This window comes from Homo sapiens, chromosome 4 (assembly GCF_000001405.40).
Source record: "Homo sapiens chromosome 4, GRCh38.p14 Primary Assembly".
In the NCBI taxonomy this organism is placed as follows: domain Eukaryota; kingdom Metazoa; phylum Chordata; class Mammalia; order Primates; family Hominidae; genus Homo; species Homo sapiens.
In genome coordinates, this window is record NC_000004.12 from 129,723,756 (window position 1) to 129,748,984 (window position 25,229).

Below are 25,229 nucleotides of genomic sequence, written 5' to 3' on the forward strand. Positions count from 1 at the left end.
CATAAGCGACTTATTTCGGAAAACAACCACTTCTCTATTTTCAACAAATAAGGCACATTTTCTACAGGTTCATCCTGTCTAAACAACATAAGTAGGAACTGACCAAAATATTTCCTCTCGTGATCTTTTTCCTGATCTTAGTTGCAAAAAGATCTTATAGATTTTCAACTGTCAATCTCCAAAAAAGACAGGAAAAGTGTTAGATGATGATGTGGTTACAAATTATACTTCCCTGAGAAACTATAAAGTTCTCAAGAATTAACAGAAAAAAAGCAATCCAGCTCTGTCCTCAATGGCATTGTATTTTTATAGCCAATTCCTGCCCAATATTAGATTAAAAACTGGAATTCAGAGTGTGCCAGAGACACAATGGACGTATAAATACCTAGAGCTTCTATGAAACAGACACGAACAGTGGCATTTTAAAGTCAAACTTTATGTATGTGGGTTAGAAATGAAAGAATGTAAATATCCTGTGTTCTAATTTGCATCCATTTGGAAATCAGAAATGGAACCTCATAAATTTCATATTAAACGATACATAAATATCATAGGTTAGAGGACACATTTTCAATGCAATGTTATGCTCCAGAAGTAAAATTCACTAAAGCTAGTAAAATGAATAGAGTTAATGCCCCAGGTATGAAACTGGAAATATAATCTGTAGATATTTAACTGGACTCTGAAAAGCCCATGATATTTTCTGCAGGATATTTAACCAAGTTTCTAAGTTTGGCAGCAGTTTTGTATTCACCTAATTTTCTTCTTCTGAGTTTCAAACAGACTTTCAGAGTTAAAAAGGCCAAGCATTTTCCTGAAGTTCAAGATGCCAGTCATCTTCTGAAGTCACTGCTTCTTGGAGAATGTCAGCCATATCCTCGCTTCCTCTCACTTCAGCCACTGGAATTATGCCAAAGCAGCTTTGGTTAATAACCAGATAAGGTGTCACTGGATAATACTGGTACAGCAGGGAATGGTGTTGCATATGCCTCTTGCACTTCTGGTCTACTATTTCTCCACCTATGATGCCTGATAAAACCACTTCACAGTTGTATACTGTTAAAGGAAAAACTTCAGCCGTATTACATTTAAGAATTTAATTGAGCAAAGAACAATTCGCCTATCGGGCCGCCTCCAGAGCCAGAGTAGGCTCAGAGACTGCAGCGCAGCTGCGTGGTGGAAGAGGATTTATGGACAGAAAAAATAAAGTGACATACACAAAACAGAAGTGAGGTACAGAAACAGCCAGATTGGTAACAGCTCGGCATTTGTCTTATTCAAACATGATTTGAACTGTTGACCGCAATCGATTGGCCAAAACTCAGTGATTGGCACAAGAGTAGATTGTAGCCTGTTTATACTTCCGTTTAGGCTATAGTTCATGATGTACAGATAAATCTTTAGGCTGAACTTAAAATAAGTAAGGAGTCAGCTTTAGGCTAAACTTTATTTGACAATGTTGTCCTCCTGGGGCCACCTGAGACATGGAAGGAGTAAGATCCAGCCCAGATCACCTTGAGTCTGCTCTTGGAGAGTTCTCATTTCCAAAATTTATTTACACAGCCTGGATTTCTTAAACATTAAATATTAGATCAGCTTGTGGATTGCAAATTGCCGTGTTCTATATAAAATTGTATTATCACCTTCATGTGATCTTATTTTTCTTCTCTTTGACCCTCTCTTTTCTTTCATTCTATGTTTCTTCTCGTGTGCTCTTTTTTGCCTATTGTCTCTCCTTATAATGTTTTCTTTTTGTACCACGGGTCAGAAAAGAAGGCCTCTGCCATCTTGGTGGATAAGTGGTGCTTTCTCCTGTAAGGTACCCTTCCACATCCTTCCTCATACCTGTATTCTTGGCTGTATTAGCACCATTTTGGAGAGCACCTCTGGGATTCACTATAATGCTGTCTTCAGGGTCCTTATCCTTTGTCTTAAGATGATGCTAGTTCATAAAGAAATCCTTTCAATTCTTCAGTTACAAAACCATCTTTTAAATGAGGTTCAGACCTTTTTTGATTTGAATTCAATTCAGTTCTGTAATAAAGAAATTTACTTTCATTTTTAAAAAGTGTGGAGAGTAAGTCCCACCGGAAAAAAAAAAGAAACTCTCATTTGGTTTAAGACAGATGAATAATAAAGAGAGAAAAAGATAACTAGATTGTTAAAATTTGACTGCAAGGAGAAGAAAAATTCAACTGGAGAGCTGTCAGCACAGAACAGATGAGGGATGATAAAATAGGGATCAGAGATACTCCAGGCAAGTGAGAGTTTGAATGAACATCTAATAATACTGAACAACTTGTGGACATGTTGAAAAAGTTAAGAACTTGGTATCTAAAAGCATCTTTCTCTATACTATGTGTTCTATGCAATATGAGTATGTTAGTAATTCACAGTAATTTATATAAATGTTCAAATATTATTCATTTATCACTAAAGATTACAAAAATTGAAAGGCACGAAAATGACATGAAAGAGACTCATGTGCAAATAATTGTTTTTGTTACATTAACATTTATATATAATCATATACAATTGTACATCTATATGATATTATATCATACGTACTCTTTAGATGTCTTTTTTTTTGTCAGTTGGCTTCCTCCTCTGTTTGCCTTTCACCTATATTGTCTCTCCCCACAACCGTGTCAATGCCCTACTATGAATTTGTAATATATGATACACCTGTCATCTCCTAGTTCTTAAGATTTTACTCACTTTTTCCACAAAAGCTAAAATCCATGAGGAGTTATTCCTTATTCATTGTCCAAGATAAGGATTCTGTTTTATTTTCTTCCAGATAGAACTTGTATCACCTCAATTAATAACCTATTTCCCATTTCCCCTTCTGCATTGAATAGAATGGCCACCTTGACAAACACTCAATGTTTATATAAATGGGGATCTATTTCTAAATTATCTTATGTTTCACTGACCTGCTTTCTATTTCTTCTCCAATAACACATCTAGTTTATTGTAATGGTTTGTTAGTGTTTTATTGCTGCTGTAATAATTTACCACAAACTTGGCAATTAAACAGCACAAATGTATTATTTCACAGTTTTATAGCACAAAAGTCTGACATGGGTCTCATTGGGGTAAAATCAAGGTCTTGGCAAAGTTGTCTCCATTTCTGGAGGTTCTAGGGGAAAATCAGTTTACTCACCTTTTCCGCCTTTTAGAAGCTGCCCACCTTCCTCGGCTCATGACCCAATTCCTCTGTCTTCCAAGTCAGCAACAGAAAGTCGTCATTCACACACTGATGTCTCTTTTATTTTCTGCAGCAGGAAAGAATGCTTTTAAGAACTTGAATAATTAGATTGGACGTACCTGGGTAATCCAGACTAATTTCTCCATCTAGAGGTCCTTAACATTAATCACACCTCCAAAGCCCCTTTAGCCATGTAGTGCAACATATTCACAGGCTCTGTGGATTAGTGTGTAGATAATCTTTGGAGGCCATTATTCTGCTCATCACCAATGGCTTTGGGTTATGTTCTGATATCTGGTACCATCACTATTCTTTTCCATGCTTTTATCCAGAAGTTATTTTTTCATTTATGCTTTAAGAATATTTTATACAAATCTATAAATAATTATAGTATGTTACATTAAATTTGTATTTAATACACATATTTTAGAGAGACGTATACCTTCTGACATCAGGTTTTTGTATTTCTTTTTTCAGATAGATTTCATATTTAATTTCTTTTAATAATATTTCATAGCTTTCTTTTTACTGGTTCTCTCTGCCTTCTTCCTTACCTTATTCCTAGGTATTTTCTAGTTTTTCTTCCTATTACGGTGATTGAAATTGTGCTGCTATCATGAATAAGATATCTTCTCTCATTTTTATATGTAGGTGCTTTTTGCAAGAATAAGTGAAAGCTGCTGAATACACATGCATACACACATACACACACATACATATATGTGTATATATGAATACATACACACATATTCATATATGTTATTAAAAATTAGAGCTTCTGAGCTAAACAAGACATATAATTATTTCATTAGCAAAATGTGATAGCTTTATATATTCTTTTTGAGACAACACCAAATAATTGCAGGAACAAGCACCCCATGTTGTTTTGGATTTTAATTGAAATTATCTAAGTGTTTTAACATTTAGCACATTTGCTATTTGCTATTATGTTTCATAGATAGATAATTGTATTAGTACAGGTATCTAAGTGTTTTAACATTGAGCATTTTTGCTGTTATATTTGATAAATAGGTAATTGTATTAAGTTTTTTCATTCCTATTGTACATGGAATTTTAATTAGACATACCTGCTAAAATGTATCAAATGAATATTCAGTGTCAATTGATTTGTAATAAGGATTTTCTCCTTTAATGTGTTGATACAATGAAGTATGTTGATAGATTTTTTTTCTAACATTAAAACACCTTTACATTCCTGTAGTAAACCCTAATTGTCATAATATATAATTCTTTCCATGCATTATTGGAGTCTATTTTCTAATAGATAATTTAAAAATTTTCATTAATAGTCAATGATGAAATAAGTCTCGCAGATTTCTTTTGTAACTATCTAACATATTTTGGAATTATTGTTATGCTGGCCTTATAAAAATCTGTGAACATTTCTATCTTTTTACATGGTCTGAAATATTTTGAGTAAGTTTGGAAGTATCTGCTCTTTAGAAATTAGATTAAACTCATCTATGAGTCCACTGGGCTCCCTTACTTATTCTAATAGCGTATGTTTAATTGCTTTTGAAAAGTCATGGTTTTCACTTTGTGAAGTGTCAATTTTGTCAATTTAGATCTTGCCAGACAATTTTTCTTTCTTTTAGATTTCAGATTTGTTGCCACAGAATTGTTAGCAGAAATTCCATATAATTTTATCCATCTTTCACTTATTTGTGTTTAGGATATTTTCCCCAATTCTTTAAAACATCTCCCTAAAGCAGCTTTTGTCTGCTCATGCCAAAAAAAAATTCTGCTAATTCAGATTTTAAACTCGTGATCAAATGTCTATTTAGAAAAAGTTGACGAAGATTTGCATCACATTTACTTATAAACATATATGCATATTTCCCAAGCTTTTCAGAGAACACAAAATACCATGCATATGCATATTTGGCTTTGATAACAATAATCAGAGGAGCATCTTGGTACTTGTGGGAACAATGAAAAACAGGGAAAACAACATGTATATGTAATTGTAATGCTATGGTCTGAACGTTTGTGCCCCACCCCCCGGTTCGTATGTTGAAATCTAATCACAAATGTGCTAGTATTAGGAGGTAGGGCCTTTTAAAGGTGATTAGATCATGAGTGCACAGCCTTCATTAATGGGATTGGTGCCCTTATGAAAAGAGGCCCCAGAGAGCTGCCTTGCCTCTTCCTCCATGTGAGTGCACATTGAGCAGTTGCCATCTACAAACCAGAAAGCAGACCGTTACCAAGCACAGAACCTGCTAGTGCCTTGATATTGGACTTCTCATTCTCCAAATTTGTGAGAAATAAATTTTTGTTCTTTATAAACTACCCACTTTATGGTATTTTGTTACAGCAGCTCCATTGGTCTAAGACATGTAATCTTAAGTTTCCATTAAAATGTGGAGTAATTTTTTATTGTTACTGTAAATCCTCAAGGTCCTTATTGTTTTTAGATTGAAAGTGTGGAAGAATGAGACTATGCAAATAAAACACTCTATAGCAATACATATTCATTTCAGAATGAAATCCATAATGTTTGATTTCAACTGACAGCTCTCTTGTGTGTATATGTATGTATGCGTGTGTGGTAGGGGAGGGTTGAATTGGATGGCATTTGGCTGTCATTGAAATTGTGTCCACCTGTGAGAAGTACTCTTATTTCTTGATTGAAAAAGTTGACTAGCATAATGTTCTTACCAAAGTTACAAGAAAAAGCAATGTTTTTCATAGTGTAGCATCGTTAGTGCATACAGACACACACATGTGTACATAAATACATATATAGAGGGAAATCTTTTCATAATCCAAGCTGATAAAATCCATAGTTTGCTTGGGACGTGTATTGGTTACCGTTTTTTTTACTGCTGCAGGTCCTCTTGGCCTCATCTATCTCTTATATGGATAGATAACGATACATAAGACACCATTGCAGTGACCAGTTCTGTGTGGGCTCCAACAGGTTCATGCAGGTTTGACCTAGTCTTAGATTTGTGCCTCTCAGTCTCTGCACTTGTGAAACTTGCAACTTCAGAGGCATTAACACTTTTGGGGATGAATAACTGACCAATGAGGAAAAGAGACTGATGAATCAATGTTCCCCTTTTTCCCCTTAGATGGATGATACATTCATCTGAGGGCTGTAGTCCTCCTTTATAGGACTTTTCCAGGCTATTTCATGATGGCTTTTAGTACTCTGATCTGCCTTTTGCACCTGACAAACCATTCTGGATAAAAGTTTCTGATTTTATTAGGGCATTGTTGCCTAAGTATGATTGGGTATGCGTTTCTCAGCCTGTTTTAATAAAAATTACTTTGAGAGATGTCTTCTATTCAAATATCATGGGACTTCAACTCTCAAGGAGCATTCTTCCATTAATACCTCAGGGAATAGTCTCCCAATGTCTACCTCTTGAAAATTCACCAAAATGTCACTTAAGACAAAATGTACAGAATACTAACTTAAAGGTTTAATGTAAACTTTTATATAACTTTATAAAAGTTATATGGGAAAGGGGTTTGACATTTCTGAATCTTTCTAAATCAAAGTCCAAAGAGTGTATTGATTCTAAATTAAGCTTCCAAGATATTTACTCTAACAAAGATATGTAAAACATTACCCAGTACCTGCTCTTAAGTGTTAGGTTTTTCTTTTTTCCTCATTTAATACTCCTCATATCATATGAAAGATGCCCAGAGTCTCTCGTTATATTTGCCTCTTTGTAGGCAATTTCCTCAGGTTTCCTGAATCATTTCTAACCATTAAGTGAAATCTATAGGTGAGTCTTCCCTTAAGACATAATCAGGCCATTTAATGCATTACACATTGCTGCTTTAAGATGTTTCCTCTGAGCCAACAGCATGACTATGCCTTGTGGAGCACGTACGTGACAGTGCCTCAGCACTTAATATTCCTGAAATGCTGAGCAAATGTGTGTTTAATATGGATTTCATTTTTTTGAGTCTGAAAAATTAAAAATCCACCATTATTTTGTAAATTCTAACATTTGTAAATAGTTTAGACCACAAAGTGAATTTGTAAAACTATTTATCATCACCATTTGTAAACTGTTGCTGTGAATTCACAAGGGAACATTTTATAGGCATTAATAGTGTTTCAGAGATTTGGTTAGACATGCCCTCAAGGAGCTCATAGTCTCATGAAGGAGTTTACAGTCTATAAAACTGCCTTATTCAATTGCCTGGAAATACAAGGTACTTTGATTTCTAATCCCTCCATTTAATCTAGGCCTAAAAGAAACATTGAAAAGAAGAAGTGCAATATTTTGGAATATTTGGAAATTTAGAAATTTTAGCCTATGAAACATAAGCCATTTAAAGTTGTCAGTTGGATGAAATATCTACTAATTCCAAGCATATTTTGAAAAATTTTTACTTCTTCAAGAATTCTATATTACTTATTTTGGGGGAATGAGATTTAACATACATCAGCTTGCAAATAGAAGTGAATTCTTTGCATTGACATGGTTTATACACATGCATCTGTTTGTCCATTTATTTAGGATACATTTAATAAGTTTCTGCTGTAGACCAGCTGTTATGCCAAATGCCAATAATACAGTAGTGAAAAAAGCAATGGTAGTCTCTACTTTCAGGCAGCTTACATTCCATTCTATGACAGTAAATAAGCAAACAAATATGCAAAGCAATTATAAATTATGCAAGGCAAATACAAGGGTGATGTGTTAGGCAATACATGTGGTTGTCTTTTAGATAGGGTGGTCAAGAAAAGTTCTCTAGGGAGGTGATATTTAAGCTGAAAGAGATAAGTACATCAGAAAGAGATGAGCAAACATCTGAGGAAAACACCCTAGGGGAGGCAGAGAGACACTAAATGACTTATAAGACCTTTCCAGGCTGCATTACAGGGGGAAGGATCAGTGTTAAGAAATAAAGGAGATGGAAAATAGAGGCCAAGTGTCACAGGGCCTGTAGGCCATGATGAAGTTTCCATTTTATTCTAAATTCAATGGAAAATCAATGAAGAATTTCAAATAGAATTTAGGTTAATATTAAAATATGACCACTTAACATTGTTTTCTAAACAGACATTAAAATACACAGAGTTTCAGCTCATTGTAGATATATATATATATATATATATATATATACATAGATATATATATTTTTTTGAAACTATGTGTGGAGCAAATATGGATAGTGATAAGGTTGATGTGATTAATACTGGACCAACAGCAGAAAAATCAATGGGCAATGAAACCAGTTGGAATCATGTGACTCTAGGTCTGAGGAAATGAACCCAGTCTGAAGGAAAGGAAAGTCTCAAAGAAGTCTGAAGAGAGTGCTGTGTTACTAAAATCATCACTGAAGAAAGGAGTAACAAATCAAATTGAATTTAGTTTGGAAGAGATAAGTATTATATATTCTTTGTTTGAGATGAAGAAAATTAATTCTTGGGGGAAAAATCAATTCTTGGGAAAACAGGTAGAACCAATGAGAAGGATTCTGTTTTTTAAAGAATAGTTACAGAAAGAATGAACTTGAAGTAGGGTGACTCTAAGAAAAGAAGCCCAGTGCACATTCAAGGGAGACTGATGACTATGTGGCACCAATCCCCATATAATGTGCAGTCGGAGAATCCTTACATTGCATTGTAATAGCTCTTTCAGTGAAATTGTGTATAATAATTGAAAATATAATGTAGAGCCGTGATCCCCAATGGCTCCAGCGACCGGTTTTGTGGAAGACGATTTTTCAATGGACGAGGCTGGGGCCGTGGTGGGGAATAGTTTTGGGATGATTCAAGCACATTACATTTATTGTGCACTTTATTTCTGTTATTATTACATTGTAATATATAATGAAATAATTATACAACTTGCCATAATGTAGAATCAGTGGGAGCACTGAGCTTGTTTTTCTGCAACTAGACGGTCCCATCTGGGAGTGATGGGAGACAGTAACAGTTTATCAGGCATTAGATTCTCATAAGGAGCAACAACCTAGATCCCTTGCATGCACAGTTCACAAAAGGGTTCCCTCTTCTATGAGAATCTCATGCCTCATGTGATCTGACAAAAGGCAGAGCTCAGGCAATAATGCCAGTGATGGGCAGCAGCTGTAAACACAGATGAAGCTTTGCTTGCTCACCCATCACTCCCCGCCTGCTGTAAGGCCCAGGTCCGTTGGGGACCCCTAATATACAGAATGTGTACAGTAAAAGAAAGGGTTCATACTCCTTTCCCAGTTGTATTTTAGTGCCATGGTTATACCAAATCATGAATACAATGGTGTAAAAAAAAAAAAAGAATAGAATAGTCGTTTGCTCATGCACATCAGGAAGTCCATCAAAATCATTAAGTGTCTCTTCTAAGTAGGGACCAAACAAGCGCAGGCAAGAAGGCCAGTCACTGGGAGCCAGGCGCGGTGGCTCACGCTTGTAATCCCAGCACTTTGGGGAGGCCGAGGCGGGCGGATCACAAGAAGATCGACACCATCCTGGCTCACACGGTGAAACCCCGTCTCTACTAATACAAAAAATTAGCAGGGCGTGGTGGCAGGCCCCTGTAGTCCCAGCTACTTGGGAGGCTGAGGCAGGAGAATGGTGTGAACCCGGGAGGAGGAGCTTGCAGTGAGCCGTGGTAGCGCCACTGCACTCCAGCCTGGGCGACAGAGCGAGACTCTGTCTAAAAAAAAAAAAAAAGAAGGCCAATCACTGGGAAAAAACCTCAAGGGCAGCAGGCATAGGAATGGAGACACAAAATAAAATGTTGAGCAAAAGAAAATCAAGAAGGAATTAGTTTCAATATAATAAAATTGAAATTCAATGCAAACGCGCACACACACACACACACAAATCCCAAATGTAGGAAGATCTATGCAAGTGATTACGCAAAGGAAACGAAAGGGGTTAAGGGTTGAGGTTTCTTACAAGTAAAATTGCCCAAAGGCATTATCTCATGTCAGGCTGGGGCTCATTACTAGAAAATGATTAGAATCAATGCTACAAAGTCAAGAGGTACCCAAATGAAGAATTTGGCTTATGAAAAACAATAACAGAATTAATGAACGGGCTTTAACCTTTCAGTTCAATACGTATTTAATCTGTTTGTCTGGGCAAAACTTAAATATAAGGAAAGAATTTATTGTTAAAGCCATGTAAAGTGCAATGATTATTATGCTAATAAGACTAGATAAGTAAAATCTCTTGCTTTGTAAATGTCATAGATTAAAAATGGGTTGTGCTAATAATTAGAGCAATGATGATTTTACGATTTTAACACAGATCATTTTACTCCAGCTTTAATTGTCTTTTTTAAATTTAACTATTTTATTTTAATTATGGGGAGTCATATATAATTATTTTGAACTTTACAAAATTATTCACATGCACAACAGTTTAAAGCCTTATGCTAGATATTTAAATGACATGAATCTTTTTCCAGTGCCAGTTGAAGATTTTTTTCTAAAGGAATAGATAACTTAAAATTATATAAGGGGTCTTTTGTAAGAGGACAATTTGCTTTAATAGTTGCTGCTTTTGGTTTTCTATCTTGAAATGAAGGCTGTTCATGCTTAAGTGACTCTTGTATTTTGAATCAATTATCTCTGGTATTTGAATTAGTGTACTGGTCACTTTTTAGTTGCTCTCAAGTCTGAAATATTCAGATCAGTTAGAAGAAATTAACTCATTTGTGACCTTTAACATGAATAATGTGTATTTCTGAGATTTCACAGATTATCTTTGGAAGTAATTAAATTTTGTAAGTGAACCGGTTGCAGAAAGTTGGTTTGTGCAGTGTTTGGGGGAGTTGAATATTTTATAATAGATTTTTCAAACTTCCTAATTTTACCACCAAAATACTTCACAAATCATTTCCCTTTCCTCATACTCCCTTCATCCAAACTCAGTTATCCTAATCTGGGCCTGATCATCTTTCATGCACCTAACTTTACTTTCAGTTTCTCCTGCCAATTTTTGCCAGACTGTTGCTTACTTGACCTTTAATATCCACACAGGTATAACTTCTTCAAGTATCTCTCCCTAAGCTACTTTCTTATTTCTATGTTCCCACTGATGAAATTCTATTTTGATCACATTATCTAATCTTCAGGGAAGGCAACCCTATCTCTGGGTAAGGATTTGGTTAAGCCTTGTCAATCAATGATCATTTTAAGAGAGAGATGTGACCAATACTTAATTCTGGCCAATGAGACATGAATAAGTCTGCTGGGGGCTTTCTGAGGAAGTTATTTTTTGGAGAGATAGAAAGGAGAAAAAATGAAAAGAACAATGCCTCTTTGAATGCCAAACATGTCGTGTCTAGATGTGGTTCCTGAATCTGCTGTAGGATAAAACCAACTGATAAAAGAAATTGTTATAAGAATTACAGAGAAGCTGAGCTGGAGTTTTAGTTTTCAGGGCCTAAAGGCTTTTCTACTGATAAGCTTACTGTCATTTGACATAATCAATCTCCTTCTTATTTAAAATATTTTGAGTTATTTAAATTACTCCCCAACTGCTATATGTAAAATTTAGTACAGCTCAGTGAGATGGGCAAAATGATTGGTAGCAGAAAATTGGGACATAGAATAATACATTGTTTTCTTTTTAAAAAGTCACTGTGCACACTCTTACCAAAGGATATCTGGAGATAAAGAAAGGAGATTATAAACTACCAGATTTGATAGAAATCTAGCCAGACTTGAGAGGAAAGCAACTATGGACGTTTGGGGCAATTGTAAAAATGATGACTCCCTCTTGTTATTTCCTGATTTTTCAAACTGTGAGTTAGAACAATGAATTTATTAATTTTCTGTTGCTGTTAATGAATTACCACAAAATTAGTGGCTTAAAACAATATACACTTATTCACAAAGTTTCTGTAGTACACAATTCTGGGCATGGCTTACCTGAGTTCTATATTCAGGCTCTCACAAAGCTATGAAAAGTTGTTGGTCAGGGCTGTGTGCTCATCTGAAGTCTTGACTTGGAAAAATCTATTTCCAAGCTCATTTCTGTTGTTGGCAGAATTCAGTTCCTTATAGTTATGTGACTGAGAAACCTGGTTTCTTTCTGGCTTTTGCTGAAGGCTGTTCTCAGGCCTGCACTCTCTTGCCACTTGGCCCTCTCCATGGGCAGTTCATATAGCAGTTTACCTCTTCAAGGCTAGCAGGAGGGTCACTCTTGTGTGCTAGCAAGGTAGAGTCTTATAAATATATCATAACCTAATCATCAGGCCTATTTCATATGCTATTAGTTAGAAGCAAGTAACAGGTCCTACATATATTCATGAAGAGATAATTATTCAGGGTGTAACAATAGGTCATCTTAGAATTCTGCCTACTATAATGAAGTAAATCAATATATTTAGTGAACACAACTTGTACTATTGGTTGGGAGCAAATGGATGTCATTCTATAGCATTCAGAACTAGGTAGGAGTAATGGGAAGAAAACTGTGTGTGCCTTCATTCTTTATGTACATTGTACTAGTATATTGATAAGAATATATAATAAAAAGTGTGCTTTCAAGCAAATGTTGGATATAAAATTGTTGGATATTTTCAGTGATGTGTACATTTTATAAACATGCATTTATATCTATAAAAATAGTATAAAACAACCTCAACTCTATCTCTAAAACTGATAAAAGGTTAACATTGCTGTTGTGTTGACCTGATTCTGTCTCATTTAACCTCCCCTACTGAAATAATTGTTTTTTACAACTTGATATTGAATGAGGAAGCTTCTTTAGATTGAGATTCTGATTTCATAGCATACAGAATGGTTGAAATTGTTAATATTTGAAGTGGTTGAGATTAATAAGCTAAAATGCAAAAGTAACTCTGTGGACCTATTGTTGTGGACTGAATGTTTGTGCTCCCCCCATTTGTAAGCTGAAACCCTATCCCTCAATATGATGGTATTTAGGGGTGGGGCCTTTGGAAGGTAGTTAGGATTAGATGAGATTAAGTCATGAGAGCAGAACCCTTATTAATGAAATTAGTGCCTTTATGAAAGTACATAGATAATTTGTGTCTCTCTGGTTTCTGCCATGTGAATATACAATGAGGAGTTGTCTGTGTATGAACCAGGAAGTGGCCCTAACCAGACACTGAATCTACCCATACTTTGATTTTGGACTTCTCAGCTTCCAGTACTCTGAGGATTAAATATTTGTTGCTTAAGCCACCAGCCAATGGTATTTTGTTATAGCAACCCAAACGGTGTATACGACACTTATCAAGACGTTGTCTACGTAACATTCAAGGAATGGATTTGTACTGAGGTTTTAAATGACAGAGAGAATGTACAGAAACAGTTTATACTTCTACTTTCTACTAAATAGATTTTCTAATGTTGAGCCCATTTTAATTAACAAAGCTTATTATCAAACTATTGTGGATCTCTCATTTAAAGAGAATTAGAGTGAACTCAGATATGAAGCCACTTTTGAATACAACCTGTTCTCAAGTGTGAACCAGGTTTGAATATCTTTGTATTTACACACAACCAGATAAGATTTATTAAGCCTGAGCTCCGATTTTGTGTTGGAAACTCTGGTTCCTAATAAGAAAAATGTGTACATTATCTCCTTTAATCCTCAAACTAACCTGACAGGGTATGTTCTATTACTATCTCCAATAAATGAAGATACAGAAAAGAATAGAGGTTATATAACCTACCCAAGGACACATAGATATTGATTGTCAGATTCTAGACTCACCTGGGCAACCTGGGACTAAAGTTTATATGCTGAACTACTGTAATATTGTGCTTCCAAAGAACAGAGATAATCTTACCCTGGACTGGTTATAGTCACTAAGAAAGGCACAATTTAATACAACGATGAAAGCATCTGTTCATGTAGGTGGTAGATAAAACTCTTTAATACACTGGAATATTTGATGTATGGATAATTAAGAATGTATTGTTTATAACCTTAAAATATTTCAACACTCTCAGAAAAATAGTTTTTCAGACTGATTCTATATTAATGCATGCATTGGGATACTTAAGCTTATGCTAGTGGAAAGAGATATAAATGCAAGCAGAATGAAGAATAATGAAAATGATATTTATTGTTAAAGGGACTGATTTAGTCTATATTTTGAAGGTTTCCCATTGGAGTTAGAATTGGACTTGGACATTGACTGGTGCTATGGAAAGATACTTTGAAATGAATAAAATAGAAGATTCTGCAAATTAAGTTTTTGCTGTGTTTTTAAATGTACTCTTAAAATTAATCACTTAAAGATTAAGAGGGCTTAATATTTCCAGAAATAAATATTTTCAAAACTAAAGGTGGATAGAAAAACCCTCTAATGAAAGTGTTTGCTATGGTTTAAAGAAAACATTCTTTTGAGTGTGTTTTTCACTTTTCATTGGATTGCCTTGTCATAATGTAGACACAGTTTAAAAGTGAAAATGAAAATGCGTTTAGTGACCTCTGAAGGATGCTGGGAAAATGCACTACCATTTTGTAAATAGCTTTCAATATGAAATGTGATAGGTATTTTGGAATTTTCCAAAAAGCAATCTTGAAACTTCAAGTGAGGTTAAAAAAAAATGTCTATAGTATTTCAGGGTGTCCCCCAAACTATAGGAAACTGACAGTTTCTAGAGAGTTTTGCTGTCTAGAACCAAAAAAAAAAAAAGGCAATGCAAATAAGGAAATTTTTCCACTAGTAGAAGTAGAGACACTTAAGGACAGAAGGGTTAGGAATGCATAAGGTTATTCAATGACATTTACTGAATCTTAACACTAAACTTTCAGAATTTTCTGTTTATTTTCAGATTCTTCTTAACCAACTTTAGTTTTTAATCAATAAATCTAAATTGTAAAAGTTAAGTTCTTTGATTTCTGAAACACAACTAAATAGCCTTTAAAATTTTAAATGCAAAAGGAATTAATTTTGATAGGCTAAACAGTGCAAGTCAGTTTAGCCTATTGTACTAAAGTTTAGTATATTCTACTAAAAATTGATCCAAATTGATGACTCTAATGGGAAGAGCTGGAAAAATGAGTTCATATCCAATGAAATTTATTCCTCAACAGCCCTTTACTATTAACAAATAATGGTGTTGCTTGTTTGTTTTTGAGGGGGGTGAAATGAACATTGATAAATTTACTTTTCTAAACTGTCTAAGTACCACAAGTGCTGCTTCTTCATGAGGCTGCTGTATAATGGTGGCAGGAGTTTATCACTATTTCAACTTATGCATAAGTATAATCTTTCCTGTTTTAATATGAGAAAAAGAAAGTCTTTTAAGGACAAGCTCAGTAATTTTTCCTTTGGTGTTAAAAATGTAGCAATTATTGGAACAAACAAAGGGATGAACAATATCAGTTGATTAAATGAGTTTCCTTTTTAAGTTATGAAATCTGTTTCTATCAAGGGACATCTGAAAGAAATAAACAGTTTTTGAATAAAAGCAAAGCAAATTCTCTCTCCTTACAAAATTAGGTCAGTGGCGACTGAATCTTTTATTTGAGAGATCATATAGATTTTATACACCAGAGTACATTGACCATTATGGGAAATTAGTTTTGAACTAATGGAAATGTTAATCTATTTTTGTATTGATAAGTTCAAACTATATTCAAAACATTCTAATTGGTAATTAGACAAAGTTATTCTTAGCATATTAATATTTATGTAGTATCATCAAGAAAAGATGCATTTGCTAAACATCCAGTTTTACATTTCTAAATTTTTCTCTTTAATACCTGTTGTTAGATTCAAAAAATTTTAATATGACTAAGTGCCTGTATGTGTGTGCACATGTATGTGTGTGTTTAAAAAGAAATATGGAAATAAAGATTTGCCTAAAGTTTGTTTCATAAAAGCATCATTTCTTCTTTTCTACTTCTCTCTGTGATATGTTAATACTTCTGTATTATTTTTAGGAATCAATATTTTCCAGATTAACTTCCTGGTTTATAATTTCTTGACTTCATTAATTTCCAAAACTTTCCTCTGCTTTACCAATGTGGTCCAGGCACTCACAAGCTTGGTTATTCCTCAGGTCTGTCAAAATTTAATGTGGTTTTATGGACATGGCCTCAAATTTTCAAATCCCTCTTTGACCACAGCCTTTTAACTGCCTGCTCAGTTAGCCTCTTATTTCTATTGAACGTATGTTTTGCCCTATGTTCAACTCTTGTCTTTTTTTGATTATCCTAATACAGAGTCTCCCACTGGCTTCATTTATCTCCTAAACTACATCCCAATCATTTTACTTCTGCACTCACCAATACCTTAAAATTCCACAAATTGTCTTCTTTTGGTTATAAGGTCCATCGTTTGCTATTACCTTAGTCAGGTTAGTTAATTTCCCAGTCTTGCTTGGTGGGAATTATAAAAGACCTCTCTTTTAGGCTTAGTGTGAAGAGTAAACGAAACCACACACATTAACAGTGTAGAACAGTCCCTGGCACATTCTGTTCACTACATGTGGATATTATTTTATCCATGACAACCTGAAAAGTCACAAACTTGGATAAATTCTGTTACTCATTTTGTTTTTGGTTGTGAATCACTAAGTATTGTTGAAATGTGATCTTGTATTTTAGCTATACCATAAGTTCTTGTTAAAATATTACATATTATAATATTATTTTTTTAGGATACTATAAATCATAATATTTGTCATCTAAAATTGGAGTACACTTAAGGCGAAAAAGAGGTGCAATTGATATTTACACTGGGTCTGTCTTGGGCATGCTGTCATCCTATTATTATTTAAGTAAAACTAGGTTAAAAATGTGCTCCAAAATATTTTCTTATGTAACTATTTGTTAGCCATACTTTTTCCTTTTGAATTAAAGAGGATGTGGGAAATAAGGCTGTTTAGGATGGGTGAGCAAGTATTTGCAGCAGAACTCAAAAGAGAATTCACAATGATTATGTAAGTAGTGAAACTGTCAAGGACAATTTGTTAGTGATAACACTTATGCTGTCCTGCTGAAAGTTCTTATTTAACATGATCTTCATAGAGCTTCAGTCCATGAGACATGTTATTTATCTACCCACATTACCTCCATGATGTTTAGGTGATAAATGCCATTACTGGTTTCAGAGTGTGGCTTCACTCACTCCCCAGTCACGATACTGACACTCATTTTGCCTGCCCTCTCGGTTACATCTTAACATCCCTCTGACTTTCATCTTTAATCCTCCCACTTCTAAGACCATTTTTTCTTGACTCGTTTGTTTCTTTTATCTTAAAAAAGATATTCAAATTGGCATTACATAGTTTTTCTACCATCTAGTGCCATACTTTGGAAGAGTAGTTCACTGTCTTTAGTACTTCATCTTGCTCTCACTCCTCATATTTACAAACTGACTTCGGATATCACTATATTAGTCTAGTTCAAATTCCTCAGTTCCATCCTACTCAGCATTTACTGAACACTTTTCATGGTTGGCGATGTTGATTATTTGCTGCCTATGTAAGAGTCTCCTCACCTCATCCATGGCTTACGTGAATTTGAATCTGCTTTTCTACGCTTAGGTTTCTCTCCTTTTTTTCTGATTGTTAATGTTTTTCATTCTTTGATATTCAGAGCTTGTCATTCTCTTCCATATGGTTTATTTTAGTGAATGCAACTACTTCAGTTATAACTATTATCTGCATTCAAATGAATCCAGTGCTGTGTATCTTGTCCCAGTCTCTCCACTGAGCCTCAAACTACTGAAAACCACTATGTGGATATTCTGGTACCTGCTGTTTGGCCCATTCAAGATGTCTCTTCTAAACTCCATCCTCTATCTGGGTTTTGTATTCACATTAATGACATCAGTATTTACTTAGTCATTTAGACTCTCAGCTTCAGTCATTGTTAATTCTTTGTTACTCCTTATATTTCATATTGTTTTGATTACCAAATTATCCATTTGTTAACTTACTATCTATGCCACAAATATTTAAATGTTTTCTTTTTGATGGGTGCTCTTCTGGGTTCTGGCAGTGTAATAACACATAACAAAAAGTTCCTAGACTCATGCAGCATTCATTCTAGCAGGAAAAAGACAGACAACGAACTAATAAATTTTATTTATATATATATATGAAGCTAATTTTGGATAATTAAAGTCACTGTGAAGAAATTAAGATGGGTAAATATATTTGAGAGTTACTGCCATGATAATTTTGTTAATCAGAAAACATTTCATTAAGTAGATGACTTCATAGCGAAGATCCAAAGGGTTCCAAAAAGGCAGGCTTATGAAGATCAGAGGCAAGAGTATTCTAGGGAGAGAATACAAAGTGAAAAGCCCCTAAGGTGGAACCAGATTTTTTGTCTTGTTGGGGCAAAAGGAGAGTAAGTGTGACAAAAGCCTAGCAAGCTGGGGGTATGTTAGTAAAAGAAGTTGAGTTGTAGACTTGGCTGAATTCATGTAAAATCTTTTATTCCTTGTTTAGAAGAGTTCTAGGTAAAGAGGTAGCATGATCTCCTTCATGTTTCTAAAAGATAACTCTGGCTTCTGATGTAAAGAATGGACTACAAGCTAACAAAGCAGCTAAGAGGCTTTTGAAGCAGCCTAGTTGATAGTTGATGGTGGCTAGGCTTAGAGTGGTCACATTGGAGATGAATTTTGGATATGTTTTGGAGCTGGAGTTGACATGCTTTAATGATAGGCAGGTGATGAAGAATGACTTGTGTCATGGGGTCAGCATTGGTGAGTTTTACTGAAATGAGGAAAACTAGGAAAGCAAAGGATATGGGTATTAATTAAGAGTTCACTTTATAGATAGTTATTAGAAATGAAAATGGTAATGCTAAGTAAGTAGTTGACTCTTTGAATCAGGGGGCTCAGCTGAATGTTCTAGGCATAGGGAAGAGGGAAGTGTCATATCATGAAAACCAAGAGGATAGTGTTTCATGTGAGTCCAATGCTGTTAATAAATCTAGTGAAGTGGATTGGAGCAGATCTCTGATCATTGTATTGGGGTGCATAGACATGATGTACTTTCCTGTTTCAGAAGGCTGATGGCCATAGATGCTTAATTAGAACGGGTAAAGAAAAGCTATAGGTGTAAAATGGAGACTGAAAATTTTTATACCAAAAAAATGGCTCTGCATTAAATTTCTGCTTATCGTTTCCTGTTTCCTTTGCATTACCTCTTTCTGCATAACCATTTCCTCTGCCCTAATTCATGCCCTATTATTTATCATCTGAGCCTTTTAAATAAGCTGTGGACTACTTTTTGCTTATGAAAATTATGTCTCTCCTCTGCAGAATGGCTCTCCATTGTCTGGAATCATTTTCTTAAAAGTGTAGTTTCTGGCAGACTATCAATTATCCAACAGGGATTTGACTATTTTCTATGAATATGAAAAGATGAAACCTTTGGTTCACATATATTTCATACATTTAAAATTTGAGATTAACGATTTTCACAGAAATTCTATTACATCCATAATTATTATTAAGTTTTTAATAATGGACTACAAGTACTGTGTGGGACAGTTGGTCTAGGCTAGCATTCATTTAACAGGGACTAATTTGTCTTGACTAAGATATTTTCATATAAATTGAATTTTATTAATTAAATTTTCTAAATTTGCATTTTTATTGTAACTGGGATATTGCTTTATTGTATCCCCAATTCACAGAAAAGGATCAATAGCTTAAAAGTCACTCACTGAAGCATGAAGATAGTGATAAAATATGATCATAACTACTATAAAACATAAAGCAATAAATATAAGCAGTGATTAGGTCTGTGGTAGAATGTAGAATGTGAATTTGTTTGTTCTTAGAACAAAATCTCTAAGCATGTAATGATTTCATAAAGGCAGCAGCAAAAGAAAATTGCAAATGGAAATTTCGAAGAAGGGTGTTTTAGATTTATTAAACTGGTAATCATTTATGCTGAGTTGCAACGCCTAAACTGTTATGAACATTTGGCAAATAGTTACAAGGAGGCTTCACAGTTTATGTGCCAATTTAAAACAAACAAAGTGTAATGACCTCTGTGGTAACTGAGTTTTACCTGAACATGATAAAAATTATCATTTTCTGTATGAAATTAGTTAATTTTGTTCAAATAGGTGAGAAGAAAGCAAAACTTAGCCGTCAAAGTTATACCATTTCAAATTTTCATTTTATAATAAAAGTCATACTTTTTTTTTTTTGAGACAGAGTCTCACTCTGCTGCCCAGGTTGGAGTGCAGTGGCGTGACCTCGGCTTACTGTAGCCTCCACCTCCTAGGTTCAAGCGATTCTCCTGCCTCAGCCTCCTGAGTAGCTGGGTCTACAGGTGCGCACCACCACGCCCAGCTAATTTTTGTATTTTTAGTAGAGATGGGTTTTATCATGTTGGCCACAATGATCTCAATCTCTTGACCTCGTTATCCACCTACCTCGGCCTCCCAAAGTGCTGGGATTACAGATGTGAGCCACTGCTGCTGGTCAGTCACACAATTTTTTAAAAGCTTCACAGCCAGTGAATCATCATAAGGGAAAACAGAACAAAATACAATACAGTTGTAAACTGACATGGTATGTCTTTGCATATCAGAAGTACACACTCTAGAGGCGCTGTCACCATCCAATATGCCGTCATTTATGTAGCTTATCTGTGGAGGAAACACTGATATGTAAAGTGTAAACCAACTTGCCTTATGTATGGTATGTGTACAAGACAGAAATTCTTATCATATTTTTTTAATTACTGAAACACCATGATATATGTGAAGAGTTTTCTATTTAATTAAGGGCTATTTTATGAACTGAATGGATGTGGCTATAATGCAATGCCAGTATGTGCACTTTTTAATTCTCCACATATTTATGACTCAAAAATATGCTGGCTGATTTTAATTCACTGTTGAATGAAACAGAGAAAATTGTAAAGGAGACCAAATTATGGTCATGTTTTCTGCATTCTTTTAGTGTGCTCTCAAAAAATGCATATTGAGTCATGAATTTGCTTTTCTATCCTGCAGTACTGAGAACGTAAAAGGTGTAATGATTTTGAAATGCAATTAGGAAACAAACAAAAATCACTTATTCATGACAATGAAAATGATTATAAAGACCATTTTTGAAATTTCATATATCTTACACATTTATCTCAATGATAAATTTAGTAAATTTGCTCTTTCTGGGGTAGCCAGAATCTATCACTTGATGGACCAACATATGTCAAATTTAAACATTCAGGATAAATATAAAGGTTTCTTAAAGTATGATGCAAATGGTTAGCTTACTCAGAGTTTAGTTCCCTCACAACATGTATTTTCTTCACTTGTTGATGAAAGAAACCAACATGTTTTAAAATGTATGTTAAATCACATATACCTAACTAAATGCAACTTAAGAATTATTTGGGGGTTTATTTGACACTCTCAAAATTAAATCATTCAACCCTGAAGATTTGATTGTGATATTTTTCAACTGAGAATCTGATGTAACATGAAAATAGTCCTTGTTCAGAAATAGTCCATAAATTCTATCCAAATATCAGGTAACTGTTTGACAAAACCACCAAAAACTAGCTGCTATTTCCAGTAAATGCCATTTATTTAACAGAATGAAAGACTATGGAGATATTCATTTTCAGAAATTTAGATAATTATGCCGGGTGCAGTGGCTGATGCCTGTAATCCCAGCATTGTGGGAGGCCGAGGCGGGCGGATCACGAGGTCAGGAGATCGAGACCATCCTGGCTAACACAGTGAAACCCCGTCTCTACTAAAAATACAAAAAAAAAAAAAAAATTAGTTGGGCGTGGTGGTGGGGGCCTGTAGTCCCAGCTACTCGGGAGGCTGAGACAGGAGAATGGTGTGAACCTGGGAGGCGGAGCTTGCAGTGAATGGAGATCGCGCCAAGGTCACGCCACTGCACTCCAGCCTGGGCGACAAAGCAAGACGCCGCCTCAAAAAAAAAAAAAAAAAAAAAACCATAATTATTAGGTTGAACTATATGAAGTCAATGATGTTGAACTGTTTTGGACTGTTAAAGAAAATAGAAATTTCCTATGGTTCCACTTCATAGAAGATACAAAATCCTTTCCACTTGAAAACATCTAGAAACATTGGCTAACATACAATGAATACTTTTAAATACATATTTTAATTAACAAGAGTAAGGAAAATGCCAAGAAGCCACAAAGAGAAAGCTGTGATATGCATGAAAAGTGGGCACTAAAGCATGGGGGTGTTTTTGTTGATGTAGGTCAACAAGATGCTTGGTTTTCCACATTCCCACAAAGACAGAGCATTAGGGTTTGTCTAGCTAGAGAGTTAGGTGACACTGCATAAAGCTAGAATGCTTGAACATTCTTACCTATTCCTTGGCTCTCAGGAAAACAACAAAAACTTGTATGTGTCTGTAACCAAATAAAATGTTGAGGTTTTCATTTATACTGCCAGACAGGTCAAGAACATATAAGGCCAAAAAATTAATTATCTGTTATTATTAGTGCCCTATCACTGAAAGAAGCAAATGCAAATGCTTTCTAAAAACAAAGCACTCACAATCCAGGCTGCATGGGGTTCTTACAGGAAAACGCTCCTGTAGATTAATTCACAACTGCAAATGCAATATTATATGCATATATTAAATGTAAATTATAATAAATAATCAGCAGAGACAACAAACAGCACAATTAAACACAGAATTATCAGATAATGAAATTATAAATGTATAAATGTCTTAAAAATAAGAGACTGAAAACACAACTAAGAAACAAGAGCTGTGAAAAATCAGAACAAAAAATAAACTAACAAGAAGTTATAGCAGTGAAAAATGTAAGGATGGAAACATTAATAGAATGGTTAAATAGAAAATTGAGTATATCTATTGAAAGGAGCAAACTGGAAACAGGAGCTGAACAAATTATTCAGAATGAAGCACAGAGAATTAAAGTGTAAAATATAATGAAAGCAGTCTTAGGAGAAATGGAAGAATGGATGAGATAGACCAGTGTTTTTCTAATTGAAAATAAAGAGTGAATACAGAGAGTAGGAAAGATACAACATGGAAAACATAATTCCTGCAAATTTTCTGGAGTGAAGAAATTCTTGATTTCTTATGTTCATGAATCATGGCACATCCTAAACAGAATGAATAAAAAGAACTCTGCATCTAGACACACTTTAATCAAATACAGAACATTCAAGCAAAAGTATGTTTAAAAGCAATCACATAAAATATTACTTACAAAAAATGAAACTTAGCACATTTGCTAACACCAACAATAGAAACAGATGACAGTGAAGAAGAATTAAAACACTGAGAAAATATAACTAGCAACTTAAAATTTTATATCTAGTCATTTAGCCAAATTTTATATCCAGATAAACATTTATTAAGGAAATGGTAGTGAAATAAAGTATATTCTAGAAAAACAAACAGCATGAGTTGTGAGTGCAAACAAATCCTTAACAAAATATATACTAAATGTTATTATGCTACAGGAAGAATGAAATTGAGTGTCCAGAAAGCAGGGTTAAGATATAAATAGAAGTAGTGAAAAAAGAAACAAGAAATAATAGTGCCTTATGTAAACAAATATTGTTTGGATAGAATAATAATTATGAATTATTTGGCCCAGGTTCAGAAGAGCCTTAGATCCCACCTGTCCATGGCAGGAGTGTCAAAGATTTTGTGGCCGTCTTTAATTGGCCATGAATGAGATGGGGACTAGGATAACAATTAACATTAGTAAGTGCCCTGCTTTAGGATCCCAAAGAAGCAGGCCCTGGGACAAGGATTTGGAATTGGCTTGGAGTTAATTGAAGGGAGCAACAGTACAGAAGTAGCAAATTTAGATAGGAAAGTGAGAGGGACAATAAAGGGTGCATTGACAGTTAAGGTACCACTGTGATCAATTGGAATTCAATCCTTCTGAGGAGCTATGAGAAACAGTACATAGAATATGCAGCTCAGATTGTTTCCACCTTAGATGTAAGGAAGCTAGGAAATTTACATACCAACCTCTGTCAGTCAGTGCTTGTGAGTGCTGAGGTTCGAAACATTAATTCCCCAGAACTTCTGGCTGCCTGCCCTGAACACAGGCAGAACAGGCTCCACCGGCCAGAGAAAGCCCTCAGCAAAGAATTACAGGTGCTGGAAGTTGGAAGTGTTTTAAATAGGCACCAAAATGGTAAGGGTTGGTAGTTATGACTTAAGTCCTGAAAAGACTTACACTAAAAAGTACTCTTTTGGGTTTTATGTTTTAATCAGAGTCCTCTCCTTTTTTTTAGCTTCTGCCCTATACCTAATGGATTCTGCCTTGTCCTTAGAATCTGAGTTCTTTGTTCCCCTCCGCTAAGTGAGGATTCAGTTTTGGTTTTTTTTTGATTTCCTGAAACAAAAGTGATCAAACCATCTTTTACTTAAAGAAGAGAAGGCATACATTTTTCCAAAGGATATTTTACCATGTGTTTACCTAAAGGTAAGGCTGAGAAGAAGCCCCTCTCCTTCCTGCCGTTTTTTACAGTCAGCTTGTAACCGACACCCAGCTTCCAGCATGTGGTCAAAAAAGGCAACTTAGAGGTAGGGGTTCTAAGGGTAAGGTGGCATGCAAAGGTATCACTCACAGCTCTGGGAATTCCAAACAACTAATTTTAAGGAGTAGTATTATGTCAATTTACAAATTGGGAGAAAGCTATATATGATGATTCTTTACCATTCACTTATTGGTTAGGCTGAGCATGTGATAAAAAGAAAGGAAGTGTGGTTAAGTCAACTATGGAGTGGACTTGAGTCAACGAGGAAAACCTGGGGTTGGAATCTGGTTTGAAACCTTGTTTAGCATGGCAATCAAGGCTTGAGATAGAACAGAAAAGTGGCAATGTATGGTTCTTCCAAAAAAACACTGTTTAAGTTAATAGTGCATCTTGTTACTCACCTTCCCCTAAATTACCCCTTCATTGTCTCAGGCTACGATTCAACAAAATTTACTTCATTTTAAAAGTTCACTTCAACACTGTCCAGATAAGATGTGCCATCCTGTATGTCCAATACGGCAAATGTTAAATGTGTGTGTGTGTGTGTGCATGCGTGCAGGTATGTTGGTCACAAATTTGCAA

The 25,229-nt window shown here is 34.9% G+C and overlaps 1 long non-coding RNA gene across 1 annotated transcript in view; it reads right to left on the reverse strand.

Moving 5' to 3' along the window:
* Positions 1-415: 415 nt before the first annotated feature.
* The window catches only part of LINC02466 (long intergenic non-protein coding RNA 2466), a 47,308-nt gene continuing 22,494 nt past the window's right edge, over positions 416-25,229 (reverse strand). Inside the window, exons 3-5 of the long non-coding RNA NR_110753.1 lie at positions 20,553-20,624; positions 3,167-3,278; positions 416-2,034 (exon numbers count right to left, since the gene is read on the reverse strand). This is a non-coding gene — a long non-coding RNA (long intergenic non-protein coding RNA 2466). The remainder of the gene's footprint in view (positions 2,035-3,166; positions 3,279-20,552; positions 20,625-25,229) is intronic.